Source organism: Homo sapiens, chromosome 11, assembly GCF_000001405.40.
Source record: "Homo sapiens chromosome 11, GRCh38.p14 Primary Assembly".
In the NCBI taxonomy this organism is placed as follows: Eukaryota; Metazoa; Chordata; class Mammalia; order Primates; family Hominidae; genus Homo; species Homo sapiens.
This window is the reverse complement of record NC_000011.10, coordinates 16736472-16759847: the sequence shown is the minus strand read 5'-3', so window position 1 is coordinate 16759847 and position 23376 is coordinate 16736472. Positions and strand designations below refer to the sequence as shown.

General features: G+C 39.3%; 2 protein-coding genes across 4 annotated transcripts in view, besides 1 other annotated feature; one reads left to right on the top strand and one right to left on the bottom strand.

Annotated features, from left to right (window-relative positions):
• Nucleotides 1-1507: 1507 nt before the first annotated feature.
• Nucleotides 1508-21201, bottom strand: C11orf58 (chromosome 11 open reading frame 58). 3 transcript variants are annotated; one of them, XM_047426310.1, is made up of 6 exons: nt 17974-20292; nt 16181-16264; nt 15164-15247; nt 11691-11751; nt 6954-7063; nt 1508-4977 (listed from the first exon to the last, which is right to left on the bottom strand). In XM_047426310.1, the coding sequence occupies exons 3-6, from the start codon at nt 15176-15178 to the stop codon at nt 4744-4746; spliced, it is 420 nt and encodes a 139-aa protein (XP_047282266.1). In that variant the 5' UTR covers nt 15179-15247; nt 16181-16264; nt 17974-20292; the 3' UTR covers nt 1508-4743. The 3 variants fall into 3 exon arrangements, with proteins under 3 accessions (XP_047282266.1, NP_055082.1, XP_016872632.1); NM_014267.6 differs by lacking the exons at nt 16181-16264; nt 17974-20292 and adding an exon at nt 21007-21201; XM_017017143.3 differs by having other exon boundaries at nt 16181-20292.
• Nucleotides 20698-21327: an enhancer, noted in NCBI's record as "active region_4480". NCBI's record gives its function as "activates an Ori minimal core promoter by ATAC-STARR-seq in GM12878 lymphoblastoid cells {active_cell/tissue: GM12878}" and the evidence as "EXISTENCE:reporter gene assay evidence [ECO:0000049][PMID:35858748]".
• Nucleotides 21371-23376, top strand: part of SOX6 (SRY-box transcription factor 6) — a 772029-nt gene continuing 770023 nt past the window's right edge. Inside the window, exon 1 of the mRNA NM_001367872.1 lies at nt 21371-21423. The gene's annotated coding sequence lies outside the window, so the exon portion shown is untranslated. The remainder of the gene's footprint in view (nt 21424-23376) is intronic.

The window sequence follows — 23376 nt, the reverse complement described above, 5'->3', positions numbered from 1 at the left end:
TGTCAATCTTCTGAACTCTTAGGCCAAAAATCATAGTGATCTTGCATCAAAATTTATTTTTAATAAATTAGCTGACAATTCACTTGTCTGCTAGTTTCATTGAGGGCATCTGACAGATGACAGAAACCATCTGACTTGCAAAGGGAGTCATTCAGGCCTCAACATAAACATGAATGTTTCAAATTGTCCCTTTGTTTGGACCCATGAAATATTTTATTCCCTGGGACAATTAAACACAGTAGGTCTGGCATGGCTGAGAGGTATTGCCTTTCCTCTAGTGGGAGAAAGGCTGTGAAATAAGAGGTAGTTGTCTTAAGGCAGATCAATTTAGGAACAAATACATATGGATGTACAGGATTGGGAAATTATCTACCGAACCCCTTCATGTACTAAGCACGTACATCCTACTGGTTAACAATGCTAAGTACTGCTAACAGGTCAAGGGAAGAATTTACAAGTACTTATGTTTTAGGAAAATGTCAATAATTGATTTGATTAAAGTTTTCAGTGCTCTTGTGTCTAGGGTGGGTAGGAGCCACACTGGAGTGGATTGAGGAGGGAGGGGATGGAAGTAAGAAATAGAGGCAGTAATAGAAAAGTTACTAAAATTAGATATAGATGAGAGAATTACACCAAACATAGGTGGTACCTAGGAGCAACTTGCTTAAAAAGATATGAAATACTTGAACAAATGCCAAAAGAAAAGGGTCACAGATTAAGGGGGAGGTTGAAGACTCAAGGGAAGATAATAAGCACTACATTCACAAGGTTTAAAAGATTCAACAGTAGGCTGGGTGTGGTGGTTCACAACTGTAATCCCAACATTTTGGGAGGCTGAGGCAGGAGGATTGCTTGAGACCAGGAGTTCAAGACCAGCCTGGGCAACATAGCCAGTCTCTACAAATTAATTAAAAAATTAGCCAGGTGTGGTGGCACACACCTGTGGTCCCAGCTACTCAGGAGGCTGAGGTGGGAGGGGCTTGAGCCCGTTGAAGTTAAAGCTGCAGTGAGCCATGACCATGATCATGCTGCTGAACTCCAGCTTGGGTGACAGAGCAGGACCCCATCTCGGGGCGGCAGAGGGGGTGGTGGGAACCAGGAGCCAGCACTTACTGATCACTTATCTATGCACTAAGCTTTTTGTTCATTTTACCTAAGTCTCACAATAACTAACTATGCAAAGGGGGTTACTGTTACTATCCTCATTTTACTTACCCAGAAAGGAGACCCAGAGAGATCAACTTATGCTCAAGGTCACCGAGTTTAGCCCTGTGGTAGAGTTGGGATGTCACAACCTAGAGCACAGAATCTTGTCCATGGCTGTGGATTTAGTAAGTGAAGTTCAGGGAATTTGTGCCTGAAGGTCTCTATTTTTATGTAAGATAGAAGGCAAGGACATGTTAAGAGTGAAGGAAAAAAAGAGGGTAACAAGTTTCAGAGTATAAGTTTTACATAGTAAGAATGGAGAACCGACTAGAGAAAATAAGGGTAATGGGCAGTGCTGAGGTCAGTTAAAACCAATTTTTACTAATACGGATTTATACATTTGGTGATCTTTCTCCAGAAATAACTGGTGAGGGTAGGAGGGCTTGGATACATCTAGGGCTGGGAATTTTCCAGGAAGTCGTTTGGGTTAACAATCATGATACTGAATTGATAGATCAGGAAGCCTAGATAGGACTTACAGAGGTGGAAACAGACTACGCCCTAACACAGAGCAGGTATAAAGGAGGAGGAGTTGGTTAGAAGTGAATACTTTTATTGAGTGATTTTAGAAGTTGTTTTCGGATATTCCAAGTATTTAGGATGTGGCTGTGGTGGAAACAAGTAATGGAACCAAAGCCCTGTGTGTAAGTAGTCACTGAAGCTAACCAGGTAGCTGAAATTTATTTCCCCCAAATTTACTGAAAGAATGTGACCTTTGTGCTCTCAAACTGTGGTTCAGGCACTCCAGAATTTTTTTCTGTACCTTCAATTCTCTCAGATTTAAAAAATTATACTAGAGAAGAGGACTTTTGCCTATGAATACAAACAACATTGCAATCTGCATCTGCAAACATTCTTTTCAATAGACGGTTAGGTCATGGATACAAGTAAACACTTGGATATAAGGCAAACATTTAAAAGTGCATTTCAGGTATTAAGTCATGAATGATATGGAAAAGTTGCCACTAAACTTTCCACTGAATAGTGTTTCACAGCACAAAAATAATCTATTTTCCTGATACTTTTTTAGTATGGATACCAAGACAGCATGACATCAGTTGTCTAATTTTTTTCCAATTTGATTTAAAAAACCCACATGTTCAGGCTTAAAAGATAGCATTATGTTTAATGGGTGCTAGGAAACCAGGCCACATGGACCAACAGACCTAAATTTACTCTAACCCTGAATTTTGTTAGCACCCAATAAATGAATTAATTGAAATCTGGATTTCTCTATACGGAGATGAAGAAAGTCTTTTAGTGTAGTTATTTTAAAACAAGTTGCTCCTATTTCCTTATCAGAAACAAGACCATATCAACAACCCAACATTTAAATAATGAACTGAAAATACTTTTAAAAACCATAAAACTCATCTCTATCCCATTCTTAAGTAAAAATCAGTCTTCACTTTCTACTTAGTTATAAGCAATCCCACAGACATTTGAAAATCAGTGGGCAAACTAAAATTGTTGAATAAAGCCAAACTTTTTCAAACCAAGTATTTGTTAAATGTCATATGTATTGTCTACTATAAAGTGATTCAATATTTTACTATAGAGGATAGCATCTATTTTTCAAAAATGTGAGAAATTAAAAAAATAACAAGGCAACAACTTTGGGGTCTGATACATGAAATAAATATACTGCAAGATAGAGTCTATCAACCAGAAATCACCTGTTCTACTTGTTAAATTTCTCTAACACATTCTAAATTTTTTTTTTTTTTTTTTTTGAGATGGAGTTTTGCTCTTGTTGCCCAGGCTGGAGTGCAATGGGGTGATCTTGGCTCACTGCAACCTCCGCTTCCTGGGTTCAAGTGATTCTCCTGCCTCAGCCTCCTGAGTAGCTGGGATTACAGGCATGCACCACCACGCCCAGCTAATTTTGTATTTTTAGTAGAGATGGGGTTTCTCCATGTTGGTCAGGCTGGTCTCAAACTCCTGACTTCAGGTGATCCAGCCACCTCGGCCTCCCAAAGTGCTGGGATTATAGGTGTGAGCCACCGCACATGGCAACACGTTCTACATTTCAAAGTGACATAAGAATAATTTTTAAAAATTCCAACACTCCAAGGCTGGGCGTGGTGGCTCACGCCTGTAATCCCAGCACTTTGGGAGGCCAAGGTGGGTGGATCACGAGGTCAGGAGATCGAGACGATCCTGGCTAACACCGTGAAACCCCAACTCTACTAAAAATACAAAAAATTAGCCAGGAGTAGTGGCACATGACTGTAGTCCCAACTACTTGGGAGGCTGAGGCAGGAGAATCGCTTGAACCTGGGAGGCAGAGGTTGCAGTTAGCTGAGATCGCGCCACTGCACTCCAGCCTGGGCGACAGAATGAGACTCCGTCTCAAAAAAAAAAAAAAAAAAAAAAAATCCAACACTCCAAATACATCCTTTAAGTATGTAGATGTATAATAGCTCAGCTCACAAACAGGTGTGACTAAAGCCTTTGAACTTGTTACTTATAAACATTAAGAATTTGGACCCCATTATCCAAAGATCCATTTACTAGCTCATAATGCAATTTGTGTTAATCAGCTATACAAATCAACCACCTAATAGCAGTCAGATGATTCTAATCTCACACCAACAGAAACAGCAATAAAATTAGAAAGTAATACTTTTTAGTAATTAATCAATAAAATAGCACTGGGATAAAATGAAGAGAATTTCTTGTTTCAGCTTCTTATCAGTAAGCCTGTTCCTCATTTGTAGATAATGAGGATAAAGGTATCACAGCCAAATATGGGAAACTGCTCTTTATTTAGACCTTTGGGACAAAATTAACTTTGGTCACATATTACTTAAAAAAAAATCCAGTTTTACATATTTCTAAATAGACAGAACTAAATGATCAGAGAATTTCTTCTGTAAAAATTGGCCAAATTTTATCAAAAATCTAACATACGATACAATCCAAATTATAAAAAGACTACTTGGGATCATAATATTCCAAATGTATGACAGTTATAACTCCATCTTAACAAGTGTGAAAAGTACTTGCTCTCATGTTGCTTTGGTCCAAAAGAGTAGAGCTAACTCAGTAACAGGAAACTAAGTACCCAATCTTTTGCCAAAATTAATTTAGATTGTGACTGGCAGCAGAAATATCCATAATGAACAGCTCTACTATAACAAAGAATAATTAAAGAATACTTTTCGTGAACATATCACAGTATCAAATACATTTTTATAAGAGAAAAATATGAAGGAAATGATAAAATAGCTATCACAAACAAAAAGAAGCATTTCCCCCATAAGGTGAATTAGAGGGTTGATGATGCTAATATGAAAGGAAGTTGAGTACTGTATTTATTTCTTATTTTATACAACTCTTACTCTTTACAAAAATGGTTATAGTCATGCCCATAAAAGTGTAACCCATGGCATTTGAAAGCAAACACTCTTTGTAATTATTTAAAAGGGCCTTTTTAAAAATTATAATACAAAGGTCTGTGCTCTATAAGCAGTCCTCCACTGTGCATTGTAACAATAAGGCTTACTTTTAATACAAAGACTAAGCGTTTGGGAGTTATGAACCACTGGATTTAACAAACATCATTTTATAATTGCTTTTTGCATCTTTTTTGTTTTTGGGATCCTCCACTTCATCAGGGTGCTCAGCAGCTTGGAGTTCTTCAGCAGATTCTTCTTTCTCTGACTCTGAATCGCTTTCAGAATCATCTGGACTTTCAGGATCAGGTGAATCATCATCGTCATCATCATCATCTCCAGCCACATCACCTTCTCCATCATGGTCTTCTACCTAAAACATCAATCAACAGGCTCTTTTAAAAATAAACATTAGCCCATACAAAATCTGAGAAAGACCGTAAGTTCTGTCGGTCTTAGAAACACTCTACTTTGTAGCCATTAGAACAACAGCTTTAAGACTTGAGTAGAATTTTAAGAAAGAGCTCTGTCTGGCTGGGCCCAGTGGCTCATACCTGTGGCTGGGATTCCAGCTACTCAAGAGGCTGAGAGGCAGGGGGATTGCTTGAGGCCCAAAGTTTGAGACCAGCCTGGGCAACATAGTGAGACCCTGTCTCTTAAAAAAAAAAAAAAAAAAAAAAAAAAAAAAAAAAAAAAGGGAGAGAGAGAGAGAGAAACTAAAAAAAAAAAAAGAAAAAAGAAAAAAATTAGCCAGGCATGGTGGTGCATGCCTGTAGTTCTAGCTACTCGGGAGGCTGAGGTGGGAGGATTGCTTGAGCCTAGGAGTTCAAGGCTGTAGCGAGCTATGATCATGCCACTACATTCCAGCCTGTGTGACAGAGCAAGACTCCATTTCTTAAAAGACAAAAGAAAACAAGAGGGGAGGTGCTCTGAAGATCACACACCTATCTCCCCTCCCCTAGTTTGAAAACCATGGTATTATATTTTCCTGAAAGAAACAATTTTTTAAATTAATAAGGCATGTTAACCACTGACCTTTATGTAGAAATCAGTTATCAATGTTTTGCACATTGTATTACTTTGGAGTAAACAGTAGTCACACATAAATTCATAATATAAAAAGAGATCACTTAGGAAACAACTGAAAAAAAAATAAAAAAGCTCTCCTAAACCATTATTTTAAACCTAAATGAAATATTTTACTTAACTTGTGAGCATGTTGTTGTTCACGCCTATTAAAAATGTGCCCTGGCCGGACATGGTGGCTCACACCTGTAGTTCCAGCACTTTGGAAGGCGGAAAGATCGCTTGAACCCAGGAGTTTTGAGACCAGCCTGGGCAACATAGCAAAACTCCGTCTCTACAAAAAATACAAAAATTAGCTAGGCATGGTGGTGCAGGCCTATATCCCAGGTCCTCAGGAGGCTAAGGTGGCAGTGAGACTGTGCCACTATACTCCAGCCTGGGTGACAGAGTGAGAACCTGTCTCAAAAAAGGGGGAAAGAAAGGTACTCTAATGATTAAGCAGAATTTTCACTTTCAGAAAACACACTTTAAAATCCTTAGAAACAGGCCAGGTGAGGCTGGACATGGTGGTTCAAGCCTGTAATCCTAGCACTTTGGGAGGCTGAGGTGGGCGGATTGCCTGAGCTCAGTAGTTCAAGGCCAGCCTGGGCAACATGGTGAAACCCTATCTCTCCTGAAATACAAAAAATTAGCCTGGTGTGGCGGCATGCACCTGTAATCCCAGCTACTCGGGAGGCTGAGGCAGAATTGCTTGAACCCGGGAGGTGGAAGTTGCAGTGAGCTGAGATGGAGCCACTGCACCCCAGCCTGGGGCAACAGAGAGAGACTGTCTCCAAAAGAAAAATAAAAGGCCGGGTATGGTGGCTCACACCTGTAATACCAGCACTTTGGGAGCCCAAGGTGGGTGGGATCACCTGAGGTCAGGAGTTTGAGGCCAGCCTGGTTACATGGTGAAACCCCATCTCTACAAAAATTGGCTGGGCGTGATGGCAGGCGCCTGTAATCCCAGCTACTCAGGAGGCTGAGGCAGAAGAATCACTTGAACCCGCGAGGTGGAAGACATCACACCACTGCACTCCAGCCTGGTGACAGTGAGACTGCATCTCAAAAAAAAAGGAAAAAACAACCCCACACAAAATCCTTAGAAACATCTCTCCTGATTATCTACAAGACCAGTAGGGCATATACAAAATTATTTTTAAGATAACTACATACAGAAAGCTTTCTACATGGGATTCTTGATTGCTAGGGTAATCTAACAGCAATAAATGGTACCAAATTGAAAACTAATTATCTTCCCAATGAAAATAAGTTAATTACTACCTCACTGAAGCCAAGTCCACAATGTCGCCGATATCTTCCTGATAATTTACTGTCCATACTTTGCTGATATTGAGACTCCAGTTCTTCATTAATTTTCTTGTCTTCTTCCCCTGCATGTCCAGGATACTTTAGTTATGTTTCAGTCAAATTAATAATTTACACAAAAACCCATAATACAGATGCTATTATACTCAGGGCTGATTTATCTAATTGTGACTAATTTTACTATGACTTTTGAGAATTTATGCCATAGGTGGTTACCTAATAGAAAATAAAATGCCTGATGTTGAGATAGCATAAATATTTATTACTAAGCACTTTGGGTATTAAATGTTTTAGCTTACTTATAATAAGTAGATGTTATCCTGAAAGATTTTTTTCTAGTCACCTAATAAAAACTCTCTAACAAACAGAATTATCTATCTTTGAACAAAAACAGTGAAAAAAGCTAGGCACTTCTGTTCAGCAAATGGCTAAATAAAATGGTCATGTACTGACTCTTCTTTATGCCTTTCTTTGCTTATCAAGTTTATCAGAGCAACTTAAAAGTTTAAAGCAGCAGTTTCCAACCTTTTTGGCACCAGGCACCGGTTTTGTGGAAAACAATTTTTCCATGGAGGGGGGTGGTGGTGGTTTTGAGATGATTCAAGTGTATTACATTTATTGTGTACTTTATTATTATCACATCGTAATATATAATGAAATAATTGTACAACTCACCATAATGTAGAAGCAGTGGGAGCCCTGAGCTTGTTTTCCCTGCAACTAGACGGTCCCATCTAGGGGTGATGGGAGACAGTGACACCCTAAGTGTGTTGCTTATGTCCAGTCTACTCTGTAATCTTGTTTGGCTGCTGTCACTACAGAAAACCCTGTTTCACAAAGACAGGAGGTTGGAAATGGAAGCAGGCTTTCCAGTGCTTTCGTGGCAATCTCAGGATGTTCCACTTTGTCTTTAATCCAGAATGTATGGAGATGTGAAGTTGTCTCAAACATACTTTTAAGGGCAACATCATTTGTGATCTTAAGCAGCTGATCCTCTTCTAGCATGAACAAAGTCGATTCACCTGGCTTATTCACAAATGGGTTGTGAATCCATTCCTTCCCAGTTCGGGGCTCTTTCGTGGCTGGAAAATAATACTCAAACTCTTTGAAGGCTGAGATAGGTGATCATGTGCCAGCTGGGAGAAAAAAGGTCCTGGCTCAGTCTCTTTTAAAATCTCTGCTAATGTTTGAAACATGTCAAAAAATCCCAATGTTCACTTGTGGCCCCCATAATACTAGTCTGGCTTTGAATGCAGCCACTCTATCTGCCAACTTGAACACAGTTTTGTTCTCCCCTGAGGTGACAGATTGAATATGTCACACAAGTAAGCAAGTTTTTTTTTTTTTTTCGAGGGAGTCTCGCTCTCTTGCCCAGGCTGGAGTGCAGTGGCATGATCTCGGCTCATTGCAACCTCTGCCTTCCAGGCTCAAGTGATTCTCGTGCCTCAGCCTCCCGAGTAGCCGGGATTATAGGCATGTGCCACCATGCCTAGCTAATTTTTGTATTTTTTAGTAAAGACGAGGTTTCTCCCCTTTGGCCAGACTGGTCTCAAACTCCTGGCCTTGAGTGATCTGCCTGCCTTGGCCTCCCAAAAGTGCTGTAATTACAGGCGTGACCCACCATGCCTGGCCAAGTAAGCAATTTTGTGACCCAATTCTGTGTCAACGAAATGTGCTGCCAGTGGTGACTTTTTCTAAAATGAAATCTCTGGAGCAGCTATTGTAACTGAAAAACAGTGGCCAGTGATCTACCTTTAGGAAGCCGTCTCTCTTCTGTGTATAAGAGAAGACGTGTGCTCTGTGTCTATCTTCTCACAGAGCTACATGAACAGATGTGAATTAAGGGCATGTACTTTAATGTGGTTGAAAATTTTAAGCACATCCTACAAAATGGTAAGTTCAGGTGGCATTTTCCAACTAGCCAGCATCTCTACAGATGACACAGTACACAGACTCACATTCAGAAGCAAGCTCTTTGACCTGAGTAGTGAAAACAGAAAGCCGTCCAGTCATGGCAGCTGCTCCATCCCTGCATATATCGATACAAAATGACCAATTCAGTTTTCCTGATATGTATTTAAAGACTTGAATAGTTCTGCAGCTGTGGTGTTGGTTGAAAGCAAAAGTGCACATAATATATCCTCATGCACATCCTCCTGAAAAATGTATCACACAAAAACAAGCATTGTTGCCTTGCTGTCAACACTGGTAGACTCATTAACCTGGATTGGGTACCACAGTGACTCATTAATTCTAACAACTGTGCCTCATATCCTCTATTAATTCATCTAGCTATGGTGCTAGCCAGAAGAGGAACATGTGCCACCTTTTGAACTGCAGGCTCTCCTAAGAGTTCACAACAGATGTCCTTAGCAGCAGGCAGGATCAACTCTTCACCAGTAGTAAAGGCCTTCTTAGCTTTAGCAATGTGATTAGCCACTAAGAATGATGCTCTCACTGCAGACACATTTGATGAAGTGGTGGCCTTCAATAATTACTTCTGTTCTTTGCGTTCACGATTTTTTCTTTTGAAAAACTCCAAAGGCTTGTCTTTTAATGCAGGGTGTTTGGTCTCCATGTGGTGAAGCACTTTTAAAGGTTTCATGGCTTTTCTGGATAGCTGGTCATCACATATTAGACAAAGCAGGTTTGGAGAATGTGAATCACCTATTGCAATGAACCTACAATTTAAGTAGGACTCTTGATATTTTCTTTTAAATGCCACTTTCTCTTTGTTGGCAGTATTAGAGTCTTCTGCTGTCTCATCATTGGGTCTTTCCCCCTTTTCAAAGAAGCTCTCCAAGGACGTTTGTTTTTTTACTCATTTTGGCTAGGGTTAGCTTGTGGGCTTACCAAAACTGTGACTGAGACAAATGCACAGTGCAGGAAAGAGACATGGATGGAAGTGGTAAATAAGTAATGGGCAGGCCACATGCAGATTAAATGTCAGATTCTGACTTAAAACCTGCCACTAGATGCAGCTTGTTACTTGCCACTCACTGAGAGGGTTTTGATATGAGTCTGCAAGCAGTTGATTGATTACGGTCTCTGTGCAGTCAAGCCTCTCTGCTAATGTTAATCTGTTTTTGCAGCCACTCCCCATTACCACCTCAGCTCCAATTCAGATCATCAGGCATTAGATTCTCATAAGGAGGCACAACCTAGATCCCTGGCTTGCACAGTTCACAATAGGGTTCATGCTCCTATGAGAATTTAATGCTGCCAATGATCTGATAGGATGCGGAGCTCAGGTGGCCATACAAGCCATTGGGAGCAGCTGTAAATACTGATAAAGCTTCTCTGGCTTGCGTGCCACTCACCTCCTGCTATGTGGTCCAGTTTCTAACAGGCCAGGGATGGGTACCGGGGATTGGGAGCTCCTGCTTTAAAGCTCTCAGTTTTAAAAGAGTAAATGTGGCAGTTGAAATATTTTTCCATTCTGCAAAGTTCAGGAATTGTTTTTTGCCTTATGTAGCAATACAAATCAATTTGAAGTAATTGTTTAACACTAGAAAAATAAAAGATCTATGAATTTCTAAAATGTGCTACATATGCTGTGTTAGCATAATTTAAATAACTTAAAGTTTTGTTAAACATAATCTAGGTCAATGTGTCTTTTATTAATATGTGCCTTTTATTACTAATGTCCAAGATTAGGGTCAGTTTTAAATAGGCAAAAATTTCACTTTTCAGCACACCAAATACCCAAATTCATTTTCAGTTTTTATTTAAAAATGTTCTTCCCTAAAATTATTTTAAAAGCTTATTTCTTTAGGCCCTGCAACTAGTTTATATTCTTCAAAGATTTTAAAACAAAATTTAGTGAATACACAAAACCAAATGCCAACTATGACATTATATGCTAATATACAAAGAACAAAAATTCTGTACATACCAGAGTTAACAAGTTGAGGCATAAAACCTCACTACAATTAAAATATATGTTCTGAATCAGTAAAAATGGAGACAGAAAAAGGTTAGTTTCTTGGTTAGAATATCATAATGACATATACTCTCTCATCTTTTAAAAATCAAAGTACATGATAATTGATACTTTATATATGTAACATGTTTACCTATTATACATTTCTAATTTTTTTTTTTGGAGACAGAGTTGCACTCTGTCACTCAGGCTGGAGTGCAATGGTGCTATCTTGGCTCACTGCAACCTCCGCCTCTCTGGTTCAGGCAATTATCGTGCCTCAGCCTCCCAAGCAGCTGGGATTACAGGTGTGAGCCACCACACCAGGCTAATTTTTTTTTTTTTTTTTTTTTTAGTAGAGACACGGTTTTGCCATGTTGACCAGGCTGGTGATTTGCCTCAAGTGATCGGCCCACCTCAGCCTCCCAAAATGCTGGGATTACAAGCATAAGCCAAGGTGCCCAGCATTTTTTTCTCTCCTTTTTTTTTTTAAATTTAAGAGATGAGGTCTTGCTCTGTAGCCCAGGCTGGAATGCAGTGGTGCAATCATAGCTTCATTGCAGCCTCAAACTCCTGGGCTTAAGTGATCCTCCCACTTTAACCTCCCAAATAACCGGGATTACAGGCATTAAGCCACTGCACCCAGCTCTAATTATAATATTTTAATAATTTACACAATTACATGCCAAAGTAGAATATCCTGAAACATGAACACATACTTCATATTCTGAATTTAGCACTTCCATTTTAATTACACTTTACTTTCTTACCGGTTCGGAAGTGAGATGTTGATTTGTGATCTCCTATAACAAGACGACCAGTATGTTCTTTCTATAAGAAGGTTGAAAATGTATTAGCATTTGAGACCACTAATTTAACCTTATTGGGTATCTACTATGTGCTGAAAACTATTCTAGGCTTCTGGGACACAGTGAAGACAAAAGATTAAATTAGAATCTCTGCCTTTAAGGACCTTACATTCTAGCAAGGGTAGGAATGGGGAAGGGAGACAGGCAAACGTAATCACTATTTATACTATGTTAGAAAGTACTAAGTGTGATTAAAACAAAACAGACCTGAGTAAGGAGTAGAGCAGGTTGGAATTTTAAATAAGATGAATAGATAACTAGAAAATTGAGTCAATCTAAACATTTTCTTTCCTAAAGGCCAGTTAAATGAGTTGCTTTAACTTCCCACCTGCTCTTTCTGCTGCCTCAAGTATATCTCATGGAGAGAAAGCAAATGAGATTTAGCCTGACAAAAATGAAATAATTGAAACTTATAATGTATCATATAAAGTGATAGATCTTATTACAGTATATCACAATCATTAGCTATCTCTTTACTATTTGACAATAAACTACTAATCTCAACTTGTCAAAAAGAACAATTTAAAACAATCCTGTACTCTAAACATAAAAATACATATGATTCAATATTACCAACTGATTAAACTGCATAATTACTCTCAATTTAATCAGTCCAATCCACTCTTTATGGTTCATATTTAGTTTCATAAGTGCTCATTAAAACACCATGTGAAGGTGAGAATAAATGTGACTTTGGAAAGCAATCTTAACCAATCATCTGTGAAGATACAGTAACAAACCTTCCTATTGTGAAAAAATGGCAGATACAGTCTCCATACACAAAAATGATACTACCGAAAAACTTCAAGTGTTAATGCTCATTGCTTTATGTGCCATTAACACATAAGCAAATCAATAATTCAGTGTGTTACTAGTTTAGGTTGCAAAACTGACAGCCATTAACAAGATTTTAATATAACAGCATCAAGTTATTCCAGGATGATGACAGTATTGCACTGATCTATTCATATGTTCTTAGCTGGTTCTTCCTGTGACCAATAAAATATTCATGATAGCCGGCTAGGATTACAAATATACTTTGTGGCCACAAAATGGAATACCTCTAAACACCCCATATGAAGATCAAAGCTACAATCTTGGCCTCACAAAGAATTTAATCTATGGGCCAGGCGCAGTGGCTCATGCCTGTAATCCCAGCACTTTGGGAGGCAAAGGAGGGTGGATCACGAGGTCAGGAGTTCAAACGGTGAAGCCCTGACTCTACTAAAAATACAAAAATTAGCCAGTCATGGTGGCAGGTGCCTGTAATCCCAGCTACTTGGGAGGCTGAGGCAGAGAACTGCTTGAACCCGGGAGGCAGAGGTTGCAGTGAGACTGTCTCAAAACAACAACAACAAAAAAAAGAGAATTTAATCTATGCTGAACAACCTATTTACTAGTTAGTCAACTTCCATATATTTTATATTAGGATGTTCTTCCTAAGTACTTGAATAAGTTTCATTCTACTAAGTTGAATATGGCCCCTAAACTAACACTTACCTTACATATCCTTAACAAATCTTTTAAGTCCTCACTTAATTTTCAATGATAGGTTCTTGGAAACTTCGATTTTAACTGATTTTAGTTGAAACAACCTATAATGAAAACAATTTTCCTCCTTATCAGTGTTACAGTGAAACAACTTTATTGTCAGTTTGCCAAAGGTTAGTTTCCAAGAACCACAAGGGATGTTAAGTGAGGACTTAATATATTTGCATGAAACAAGAGAAATTGCAGACTATTTTCTATGACAAATTACAAATTGGGAAATCTCGATTAATGAGATATTATACAAATGCTTTATTTAAATAGGTCTCAGTGTTTTACATGACCTCTTCCTATCCCCAAACCTACTGTTGTAGTCTGGCTAACTCCTTCTCATCCTTTGAGATTCAGATCAATTCTATTTTGGGGAAGCTTTCTTGCACTGCTAAACCAGAGTTAGCTGCCCTCTGTGATTCCACAGCACTATGTGCATGGCTTTCTCACAGCAATTACAATTCTGTATTGCTATTATCTGGTTTCCTCCATTACATAATAGCTTCAAACATGTATTATTGATCTATATGACCACCCAGGATCCAGCACAGTAGTAGGTAGTCTGTAATTGTTGGGAAAATGAATGAATGTATTCCCATGTGCATAACAAAACAAAGAGCAGAATTTCATTTTAATGTGCTTAAAAAAAGAGAAAAAAAGCTTTCCTATTTCTTTTCAATTTAGTTTGTAGGAAGTCTGTTAGGACAATGTTAGGAAAATAAATTTACTTGCTTACAAAAACTAAGTATCTAGAGATCCCTGTATAAACTGCTAGGATAAAGAAAGGTTTTTACAATAGATATTTTCCTGGCACTTGTTTTATATAGTTGACCCTGAACACAGGATTAAACTGTGTGGATCCACTTATACTTGAATATACTTCTGCCTCTGCCACTCCCAGACAGTAAGACAATCCCTCCTTTTCAGCCCACTCAACATGAAAACTATGAAGATGAAGACCTTTATGATAATCCACTTCCAATTAATGAAGAGTCAATTATTTTCTCTTCCTTATAATTTTCTTGATAACATTTCCTTTTCTTTATTGTAAGAATACAGGATATAATACATTTAACACCCAAAATATGTGTTAACTGATAATTATGTTATCAGTAAGACTTCCAGTCAACAGTAGGCTATTAGTAGTTAAGTTGTTGGGGAGTCAAAAGTTATATGCAAACTTCTGACTGCCTGCAGAACCAGCACCCCTAACCCCCACATTGCTCAAGGGTCAACTGTACCTTCTATTAACGTTAACCAAACTGACAGGCATTTCAAAGTATCTTGAACATTTTTAAAATTAAGGTTTTCTTTCCCCCTGGTGTTCTACACATTCAGAGAAACTTCTCTATCTAGTAACAAACTATAGAAATAATCTCTGAAAGTGTAGTCTTAAAATTAAGTTTTTGATAAAGGATATTCCTCTGGTTACTACTTCAAGGGCTGGAGGGAGCTATAAAATATGACAGCCTTTTCACTTTGGCCAGAGGTTCCCACAAGATAACCTACCCAGAAGAAATATATTCTATCAAACCACTGGGCCAACATATGGCAAATCATAAACTTTGACATCTCTTTTCTCCTATACAGCCTCCTTGAACCAAATTTTTCTCTGTACAGTCTTCAAACTATACGGACAGAGAATCCTAGAAGTGGCTCAAAAATAATATAAATTTTATGTGCTTGGTTAGGCCACATGTATTTCCCAAAGCCAAAAGAAATCACACAGAACAGGAAAATGGAATCCAAGTATATTCAGTCCTTCTTACTTAGCATACATAAAAATGGCAATATTTTCACAGAAAAGGTAAAAATGCACACCATCTGATGCTTACCTTTCCTGCACCCATAAGTCTCAAGAACTTTTGTTTTCTCTCTTCATTACCCAAGTCTGCTGCCTCCCAATTGCTAGATCCCAGCTAGAAAAAAAATTGGTTGATTAAATTTTTTTTGCATAAAAATAAGTATTACGAAATCTAAAGTCTACCTGTAACTCTCAAGTTTTTTTCCCCTGTCAGTTGTAACTATAAACAGCGTTCATTTTTCTTGCTTAGGAAGTTAAGCATATTCATCACATTCAAATTTACTCCTTTTCTATTACCTCACAGCAGAATCCTTTAGTTCTCCTACAGCCAGAGCTGAGTCTCAAAAGTTTGCCTCTATCAGCGTCACCTAGAGGGCTTGTTAAAACAGACTGCAGGGCTACAGCCCCAGAGATTCAGCGGGTCTGGGGTGGAGCTCTAGGATTTGAATTTCAACAAATTCTTAAATGATTGCTGATGCTATTTATCTGGGGACCACACTTTGAGACCCACTGCCTCGCAGGGTAGGGTCCTAGAGCACCTAGTACTCTGAACTTAGATGGCAGCCACAGTTGTTAGTTGAAGTTAAAAATTCTGCCTTTATCAGTGAGCTAACTTTTAAGAGAGAAAATTTTAACTTTTCAGTTGCCTTTTTTTTTTTTTTTTTAGCAGTTCTAGTTACTTGTTAGGATTGAGATGTCATTACTTTTATTCTTTCTTAAAAGTCTTCCAAAGAACAAAGAGAAAACTTATTTTTTAAAAGAACAGACTAAAACTCATGCTATCTTGCAATTATCAAATGAGTCCACTGAACTCTTATAAATCTAAGAAATATGATGGAATCCTAGTGAGCGTATTTTTTCCCTACATTTTGAAACAAATGTAAAAACTGTTGTTTTTTAATAGTTTTTAATAGTTCATTATTTATAATTCATTATTTATAATTCATTATTCTCAACTATGCTAAAAATAACTAAATAGTTTTTAAGATATTAGTTTTCTCATTGTATTGTCCAAAGTATTTCATCATCATCTTTCAAGACATCATACCTGTTGTCTACTTTTAGCTTTCACTGAACACCGATGGGAATTCACAATTTTTCATTTTCCATTCATAATGGCAAAGAGAAAAAACTGACAGAAGGCATTAATCATTATTAGACGAAGAAGGTGAATGCAAAATGAAAGGCAGTCGTATTCTAGACTAATCATGATAAAATTAACTGCAAAAATCTCAGACTATGAGTTTTTGGATGAGGAAATATTAGAAGGCTTTTCTCCCACCCAAGAATTGACAAGAAAAAGAAAAAAAAGACAAACAAGAAATGTACTCTCACTGGGAGAGCCATCAGCAGGAAGGACTTCATCTTGCAATATTTCACAGTAAGAGCCAGGATCATCCCATTTTCTAAAAGGAGGTGTGAGTGTTTTATCTCATCTTTTACAATGTTTATGCATCAAAATTTACTTGATTTGGTTGCAAATGGACAAAGGGTGAAGGCAGATGTGTACACAAGGTGACTGGAAGGAAAATGAAATAAAAATATTCACCGAATTTATCATTCTAATTAAGTTTATAATCTAAAAATAAAAATGTTTTGCAATTATGGAGCAAGGATGACAATTACAAAATTGTAAGCAATAGGTTTCAAAAATTCCTCAAGTATTGTATTTTGATGATGCAAATCCGAGACAGGTTTGAACTTCAAGGGTCCCTTATAAGTGGATTTTTTTCAACCAAATGCAGATCCATCCCAAGTATATGGAAGGCTGATTTTTCCTATTCTCAGGTTCCACAGGGCTGGCTGCAGAACTTGAGTATGCAAGATTTGCCAAAGAGGTGGGTGGGTCCTGGAACCAATCCCCCACATTTAGCATACTGAAGGATGACTATATGTACATCAAAATCAGGAAAACAAAGAATATAAATTTCGGTTTGCTATTGTTAAATTCACATTAAAATTCCTAATAAAGTTGTTTTGCACTATCTCCCATTATTATTTCTAAAAATTATTTGTAAAAGACTAAAAGAATATTTAAAAAAACCACTATTTCCCCTGGGCATATGAGAGTTAAAGCATTTGTACCAACCTGGACCCATTTGCACTTCTAAATTCTCATTAGTGGAAGGGCTTATATGCTCTCATAATTTTGGTTCCCTAAGTTCCAAATCTCTACTTTTTTCCATGTGACCCCCCTCATATATTTTTATGGGCCATTTAGTTCTTAACTATTTCTGGCTCAATATAGTTAAAGTAATGGTGAAGCTTCAGTTCTGACAATCACTAAATCACTTGCTCTGTAAGCCAGGATCTGACATTTAACTTAATTTTAACTCCTTATCTATAAAGAGATGCCTTTTTAAAAGACTGTCTTAAGACACTGAGGCACAGAGAGGCTAAGTGACTTCCTTTGATCCTCTGACCATCCTGTGTTTTTTCCACATCATACTGTCCATGATCAAATGAGACAGATGAAAGTGGTCTATGAACTAGTTATAAAAATGTATAGAAGTTAAAAAATTGTGTAAAAACCAACTTTCTTGATTCTGCTTCTATTAAAAAACATTTTCAGTGTTTATATAAATAACTGTCATCTACAACTTCTAATCCCAATGTTTTAAGGAAATAACATTAAGTCCTGCCAGTTCTTCTTTTCAAAGACCTTAAAGCAGCACTCCAGGACCAGACTGGCATCAGGGACCAGTTTCGTGGAAGACAATTTTTCCACTGAGAGGGAGGATGTGATGGTTTCAGGATGATTCAAGTGCATTACATTTATTGGGCACTTTATTTCTATTATTACTACACTGTAATCTATAATGAAATAATTATACAACTCACCATAATGTAGACTCAATGGAAGCTTTGAGCTTGTTTTCCTAAAACTAGACAGTCCCATCTGGGGGGTAATGGGAGACAATGACAGATCATCTGGCATTAGATTCTCATAAGGAGTGTGCAACCTAGATCACTCGCATGTGCAGTTCACACCAGGGTTCACGCTCTTATAAGAATCAAATGCCAACAGGAGGCAGAGCTCAGGTGGTAATGCAAGCCAAGGGGAGTGGCTGTAAATACAGATGAAGCTTTGCTGGCTGGCCCACAGCTCACGTCCTGCTGTGCAGCCTGGTTCTGTGGCCCAGGGGTTGGAGAGCCCTGCCTTAAAGTACAACAGTGAGTACTTGCCCAAATGCTGCATTCTGAAAAGCACGTGGGTGCACTATACATTTTAAGAGAGTTCCTTAGCAGTTACTAAAATTTACCTCCCCACTCTTCCCACTTCCTATAAGATAGCTTTCATTTCTCCACTCCAAGCCAATGAAACGACTTTTAAGTTGTTTTCATCCTTAATACCCTTTACTACAGAACTGCAATCAATTTACCTCCTCAATACATAACCTGGTGACTCTTAGAATTTACTCCTACATTGTTAGCGTTTTTCTAGAGTTGTATTGTGATTTAGTATCTACTTTTAATAGTAAAAAAATGTTTTGTTACCTCAATTAGATGTGAGGTCAATGGGCATAAGAAAACTTCAATGATCTCTCACATACCGTGGATGCTCATTAGAAACTGTTTCCCAACTATATATTATAACTAGATTTTTTTTTTTTTTTTTTTAAACAGAGTCTCGCTCTGTCGCCCAGGCTGGAGTGCAGTGGCGCCATCTTGGCTCACTGCAAGCTCCGCCTCCCGGGTTCACGCCATTCTCCTGCCTCAGCCTCCCTAGTAGCTGGGACTACAGGCGCCCGCTACCACGCCCGGTTAATTTTTTTGTATTTTTTTAGTAGAGGCGGGGTTTCACTGTGTTAGCCAGGATGGTTTGGATCTCCTGACCTCGTGATCCGCCTGCCTTGGCCTCCCAAAGTGTTGGGATTACAGGAGTGAGCCACCGCGCCCGGCCTGCTAGTTTTTTTTTTTTTTTCTGCAACAGCTTGGAGGTATTTTAATGAATGCATTACTTATGGTTAAAAAAATTTTTTTTTTAAGTACTGGCTGGGCGAGGTGGCTCACACCTGTAATTCCAGCACTTTGGGAGGCCGAGGTGGGCAGATCGCTTGGGTCTAGTAGTTGGAGACCAGCCTGGGCAATGTGGCAAAATCTGGTCTCTACTAAAAATACAAAAAATTAGTCGGGTGTAATGGTGCACACCTGTAGTCCGAGCTACTGTAGTGGTGGTGGGGGAAGAGGGGGTTGAAGCAGGAGGATCACCTGAGCCAGGGAGGTGGAGGCTGCAGGGAGCACTGATCGATCGTGCCACTGCACTCCAGCCTGGGCGACAGAGACCCTGTCTCACCTGTCTCAAAACAAAAACAAAACCCAGGTACTTAAAGATACGCTTATATGATTGGGAAAGGTCTTCAAGGTCGTCTAGTTTAAACCGACCTCTTCCGAAGCTGTAAACTTAATGACTTAATCCCTTTAACTTTGTTAAATTTCATATCACCTGGAGTTTTCTGTCACGCTAAAAGATATTTCCAAACAGGTGTCTGATATCCTAGCAATCAAGTCACATTTAAAGATCAGGAGGAAAACAATGTAACAGCTTTTTAAGTGGCAGCCAGGTTACTCAAAAGTGTGGATCAATTCCTGACAAAACCTGAATTACCATATTAACAAGATCTAAAATCCAGTAGCAGAAATAACAGAGAGCAAGAATAAACTTCTCTAGGTGCCCATTCATCCCCAAATCTTTACTGATTGCTAATCTTTCTGCAGAGCTGAAGTCGATTCCTTTAAAGATCCTTAATATTCCGGTCCTCGCCCCACCTCCCATCAGAGGGGTAGGTCTTAACATTATCTCATTTGCTACAAAGTAGTATTCAGTGGGCTTTTAAAATTTTATGAAGAGCGTTGAAATGCACTATCGAAAAATTTAAAGCTCTATGTATTCAGAAATTGACAGTACTTTAAACAAAACCGAAAAAAAACCTAGATATCCCTTCATCTTCCTTAAAGATGACCTCTCCGCGCTCTCTCCAACAATTTTCCCCATCAACGTTGCCAAGACACTTATCCATTGTATGAAGGACCTAGTTTTACGTTTACTGGTTACCTACCGTTTCCATGACACTGGGCTAGGAGCTAGGACAAATATACAAAAAGGCCTAAAATAAGCATCATATTTCTCTCCGAATTCCCAACACCCGGCAGTGCAGTAAATATTTAACGGGTTACTTTAAGGGATAAACCGTTTGCTATTAAAACCTATGAGGTGAGGGCTGAGGAAGGGAACGGCATTTGATGGGGAGACGAGGTAAGAAGAACGAGGTATTAATATCCGACATCAAAATGGGCTTCTAGGTCTCAACGTCTTAGACCTCACCACCAGAGCCAGTACCAAATTACACCCGTGGCACAATTTTCGGCTCAATACTGTTCTCGGTTTACCCTTACTAGTGCAGCTAAAGTTAACTCTCAACAGCACATTGTAAAAATCATCCAGGCAGGAAAAATCTGTACAAACGTGCACGAACATTTCGACATTGTCACGGGAACATTTAGAACCCAAAACAGGGAGAGTCTTGCCGTCTCTATACTGAGTACAAAGGCCCGAGAAAGCACTCTCATCGGCCCCCCAAAACGCACGTACGAAATCCCTTGACTAAGCTCTTTCACTCCTCGACCCTCTCAGAATTTCCTTCCTCAATCCCCCTTCCTACGCAGGTCTCCGGCTCTCAGCGTGTGGGCCTCTTCAAACCTTCTGACCCTCATAAAGATTAAGGGAGGCATTTCCCACTCATTCTTCTGGTTTCTTCCCTGGGCTCTCCCGCTGCAGGCCACCTCAGGCGCGTCCTCCTCCAACCACCCTTCCCGGCCTACTCCAGGCTTTAGTAGGCCTCAACCCTCAGCCACTCCGCCATTATTATTTACATCGTCGTCTGGGGAGGCTGAACGCTTCACCCCATGCGGGTGAGACTCTCTGGCAGCACTCATCCTTGCGGGGATCCCGACGAAAAATGCCGAACCCTCTCGCCGCTCTTCCCAGCCGCAAAACCAGCAGCTTACAATCCGCCAAGGGCCCAAGCAGCGCCACTACAGAACGCAGAGCCCCTCCGGGCCTTCTCTGCCACAGTCGTCACCGTTGCGGCCCCTCGCCGCCCCGGGGCACTTTGGGAGTTGTAGTTTTCTGATTCATTGCATACTGGCCCGAATAAAAAAGATGTGTCCGTGACTAAAACTACAATTCCCAGGAAGCCCCGAGGCTCAATTCGCGCTGTGTGGCGGGAGTGCCCTCAGAGGCCCCGCCTTCGGCTGGTGGAGGAAGCGTTCCCGCGGATGTGTATGGCGGTGAGCGTTGGCCGAGAGCTTTGTCGCCACAGGAGGAGGCTTAGAGGGGTTTTTGCCTTTCACCGTGCAACGCTGCCCTACTGGCAAATGTATCATCGTAGCTAGGCACCTATGTTTAAATGTAATGTTTGAGGCTGACTGAATCCTCACGAATACCCTCCACCCAGGACAAAAACCTTAACCAAAAATGGCTTCTACCATTTCCACCCTGGTGTTCTCTATTGCGCGCAGGGGATTTCTAGGTGGTCGGTGATGCTGCTTTCTAAATGTTTTCATGAATATTTCGCTGTTTTCCCATACAGAAATGAGTTCAGTATGTTGTTAAATGTTGGCTAATTGGCGGTTGTTGAAAACGGGGATTTAGCTGAGGGAAATCTGTTAAGTTTTCATATGGCTTTGTGTGAGGTGGGAGTGCTCCTCACTGACCTCGCTGTGGATGTCTGGGCACCGTTACAGTAGGGGCCTTCACCAAGCAAAGTCCATCCCTGCCACAAAAGCCTCTATTTTTTTTCTTTTTTAAAAAAAGTAATTATTGAGGTTAAATTCACATATAAAATTAACCATTTTTTAAAAAGTGTACAATCCACTGTCACTTAGTACATTCACAATCGTGTGCAGCTGTCACCTCTGATTCCAAGAAGTTTCACCACTCCAAAAGGAACCCCAATGCCCGTTAGCAATCCCTCCCCATTTCTCGCCCTCTCTCCAGATTCAAGTGATCACTCCTCTACTCAAAAAGCCCTGCATTTAAAGCTATTTATTGTTCAGATACTGAAGACTATCTCCTACTTTATTAAGGTGTCTGAATTTGTAACCAGGTCTGAACTTAACTTTCTGTCAGAATCCTTGTCCTTAATAATTCTGAAGCTTTCTCACCTTGAATACAAATGTGATTTTTTTTTTTTTTAAGCAAAAATTAGGCCTGGCGCCATGGCTCAGGCCTGTAATCCCCAGCATTTTGGGAGGCTGAGGCGGGTGGATCACGAGGTCAGGAGTTCGAGACCAGCCTGATCAACATGGTGAAACCACGTCTCTACTAAAAATACAAAAATTAGCCTGGCATGATGGCACATGCCTCTAATCCCAGCTACTCGGGAGGCTGAGGCAGGAGAATCGCTTGAACCCGGGAGGCGGAGGTTTCAGCGACCCAAGATGGCGCCACTGCACTCCAGCCTGGGTGACAGAACGAGACTCGGTCTCTAAATAAATAAATAAATAAATAATAAGTGGTATGGATAATACATATCTGCTGTTTCAGAACTGAGAGCAGTCTGTGAAACAATGCTTAGCTATTAGCTTTTGAACTCAGCAATTGCTCTAGTTTCACTGCCTGTGTACAAATATTACTTACCTAGATTTCAGATCCTCACTGAACTGTGACCAGTGGAAGGTAGTTTTTAAATTTATGCAGTCATAGATTCAAATTCTCCCTTATTTTGGAAGCAGAAAAATAGCATAATAGTAAGTACTATAATAGAAAAAGAGATGTCAGGGTTACATTTTATAAGTATAACCAAACAAAGAACATCTTAATGGTTCTGTGGTAAGAATAAATCATAAAGGAGGAGGAGAGTAAACCCAAGAGAAAAAAAAGAAACATTGTTTTAGGAAGTGGTTGATTGCTTTTTGCTAGAATTAAAATATTTTCACTACTACATAATTCTACTTAGGTTCTATTAGTTACAATGAAATTACATTTAAGTTACAGAGTTTTGCAGTTTCGACTACAGTTCACCTCTAATGGGTTTGACAAATGGTGATTTAGAACTATTAGCTATATTACCAAAACAAATAAGATGGCTGAATAGGTACTTTAGACTGCTAAAAGATTTCTGAAATAAGAAAGGATTGTCAATAAGAATAGTAGTTACTATATAATTTTAATTTTACTAGTTGGTGAAAGTCCAGAAAACTTTAATGAGCTAGCAACATGTCTTTTATTTCTTCACCAGA

Bases quoted from the DNA above. Each gene is read 5' to 3' on its own strand.
- C11orf58 (NM_014267.6), bottom strand. From the start codon at position 21,069: ATGAGTGCTGCCAGAGAGTCTCACCCGCATGGGGTGAAGCGTTCAGCC. The intron at 7,064-11,690 runs GTAAGAAAGTAA...CTGGACATGCAG, and splicing joins AACATCTCACTTCCGAACCG to GGGAAGAAGACAAGAAAATT. The intron at 4,978-6,953 runs GTAGTAATTAAC...TTGATGTTTTAG, and splicing joins GTGGACTTGGCTTCAGTGAG to GTAGAAGACCATGATGGAGA.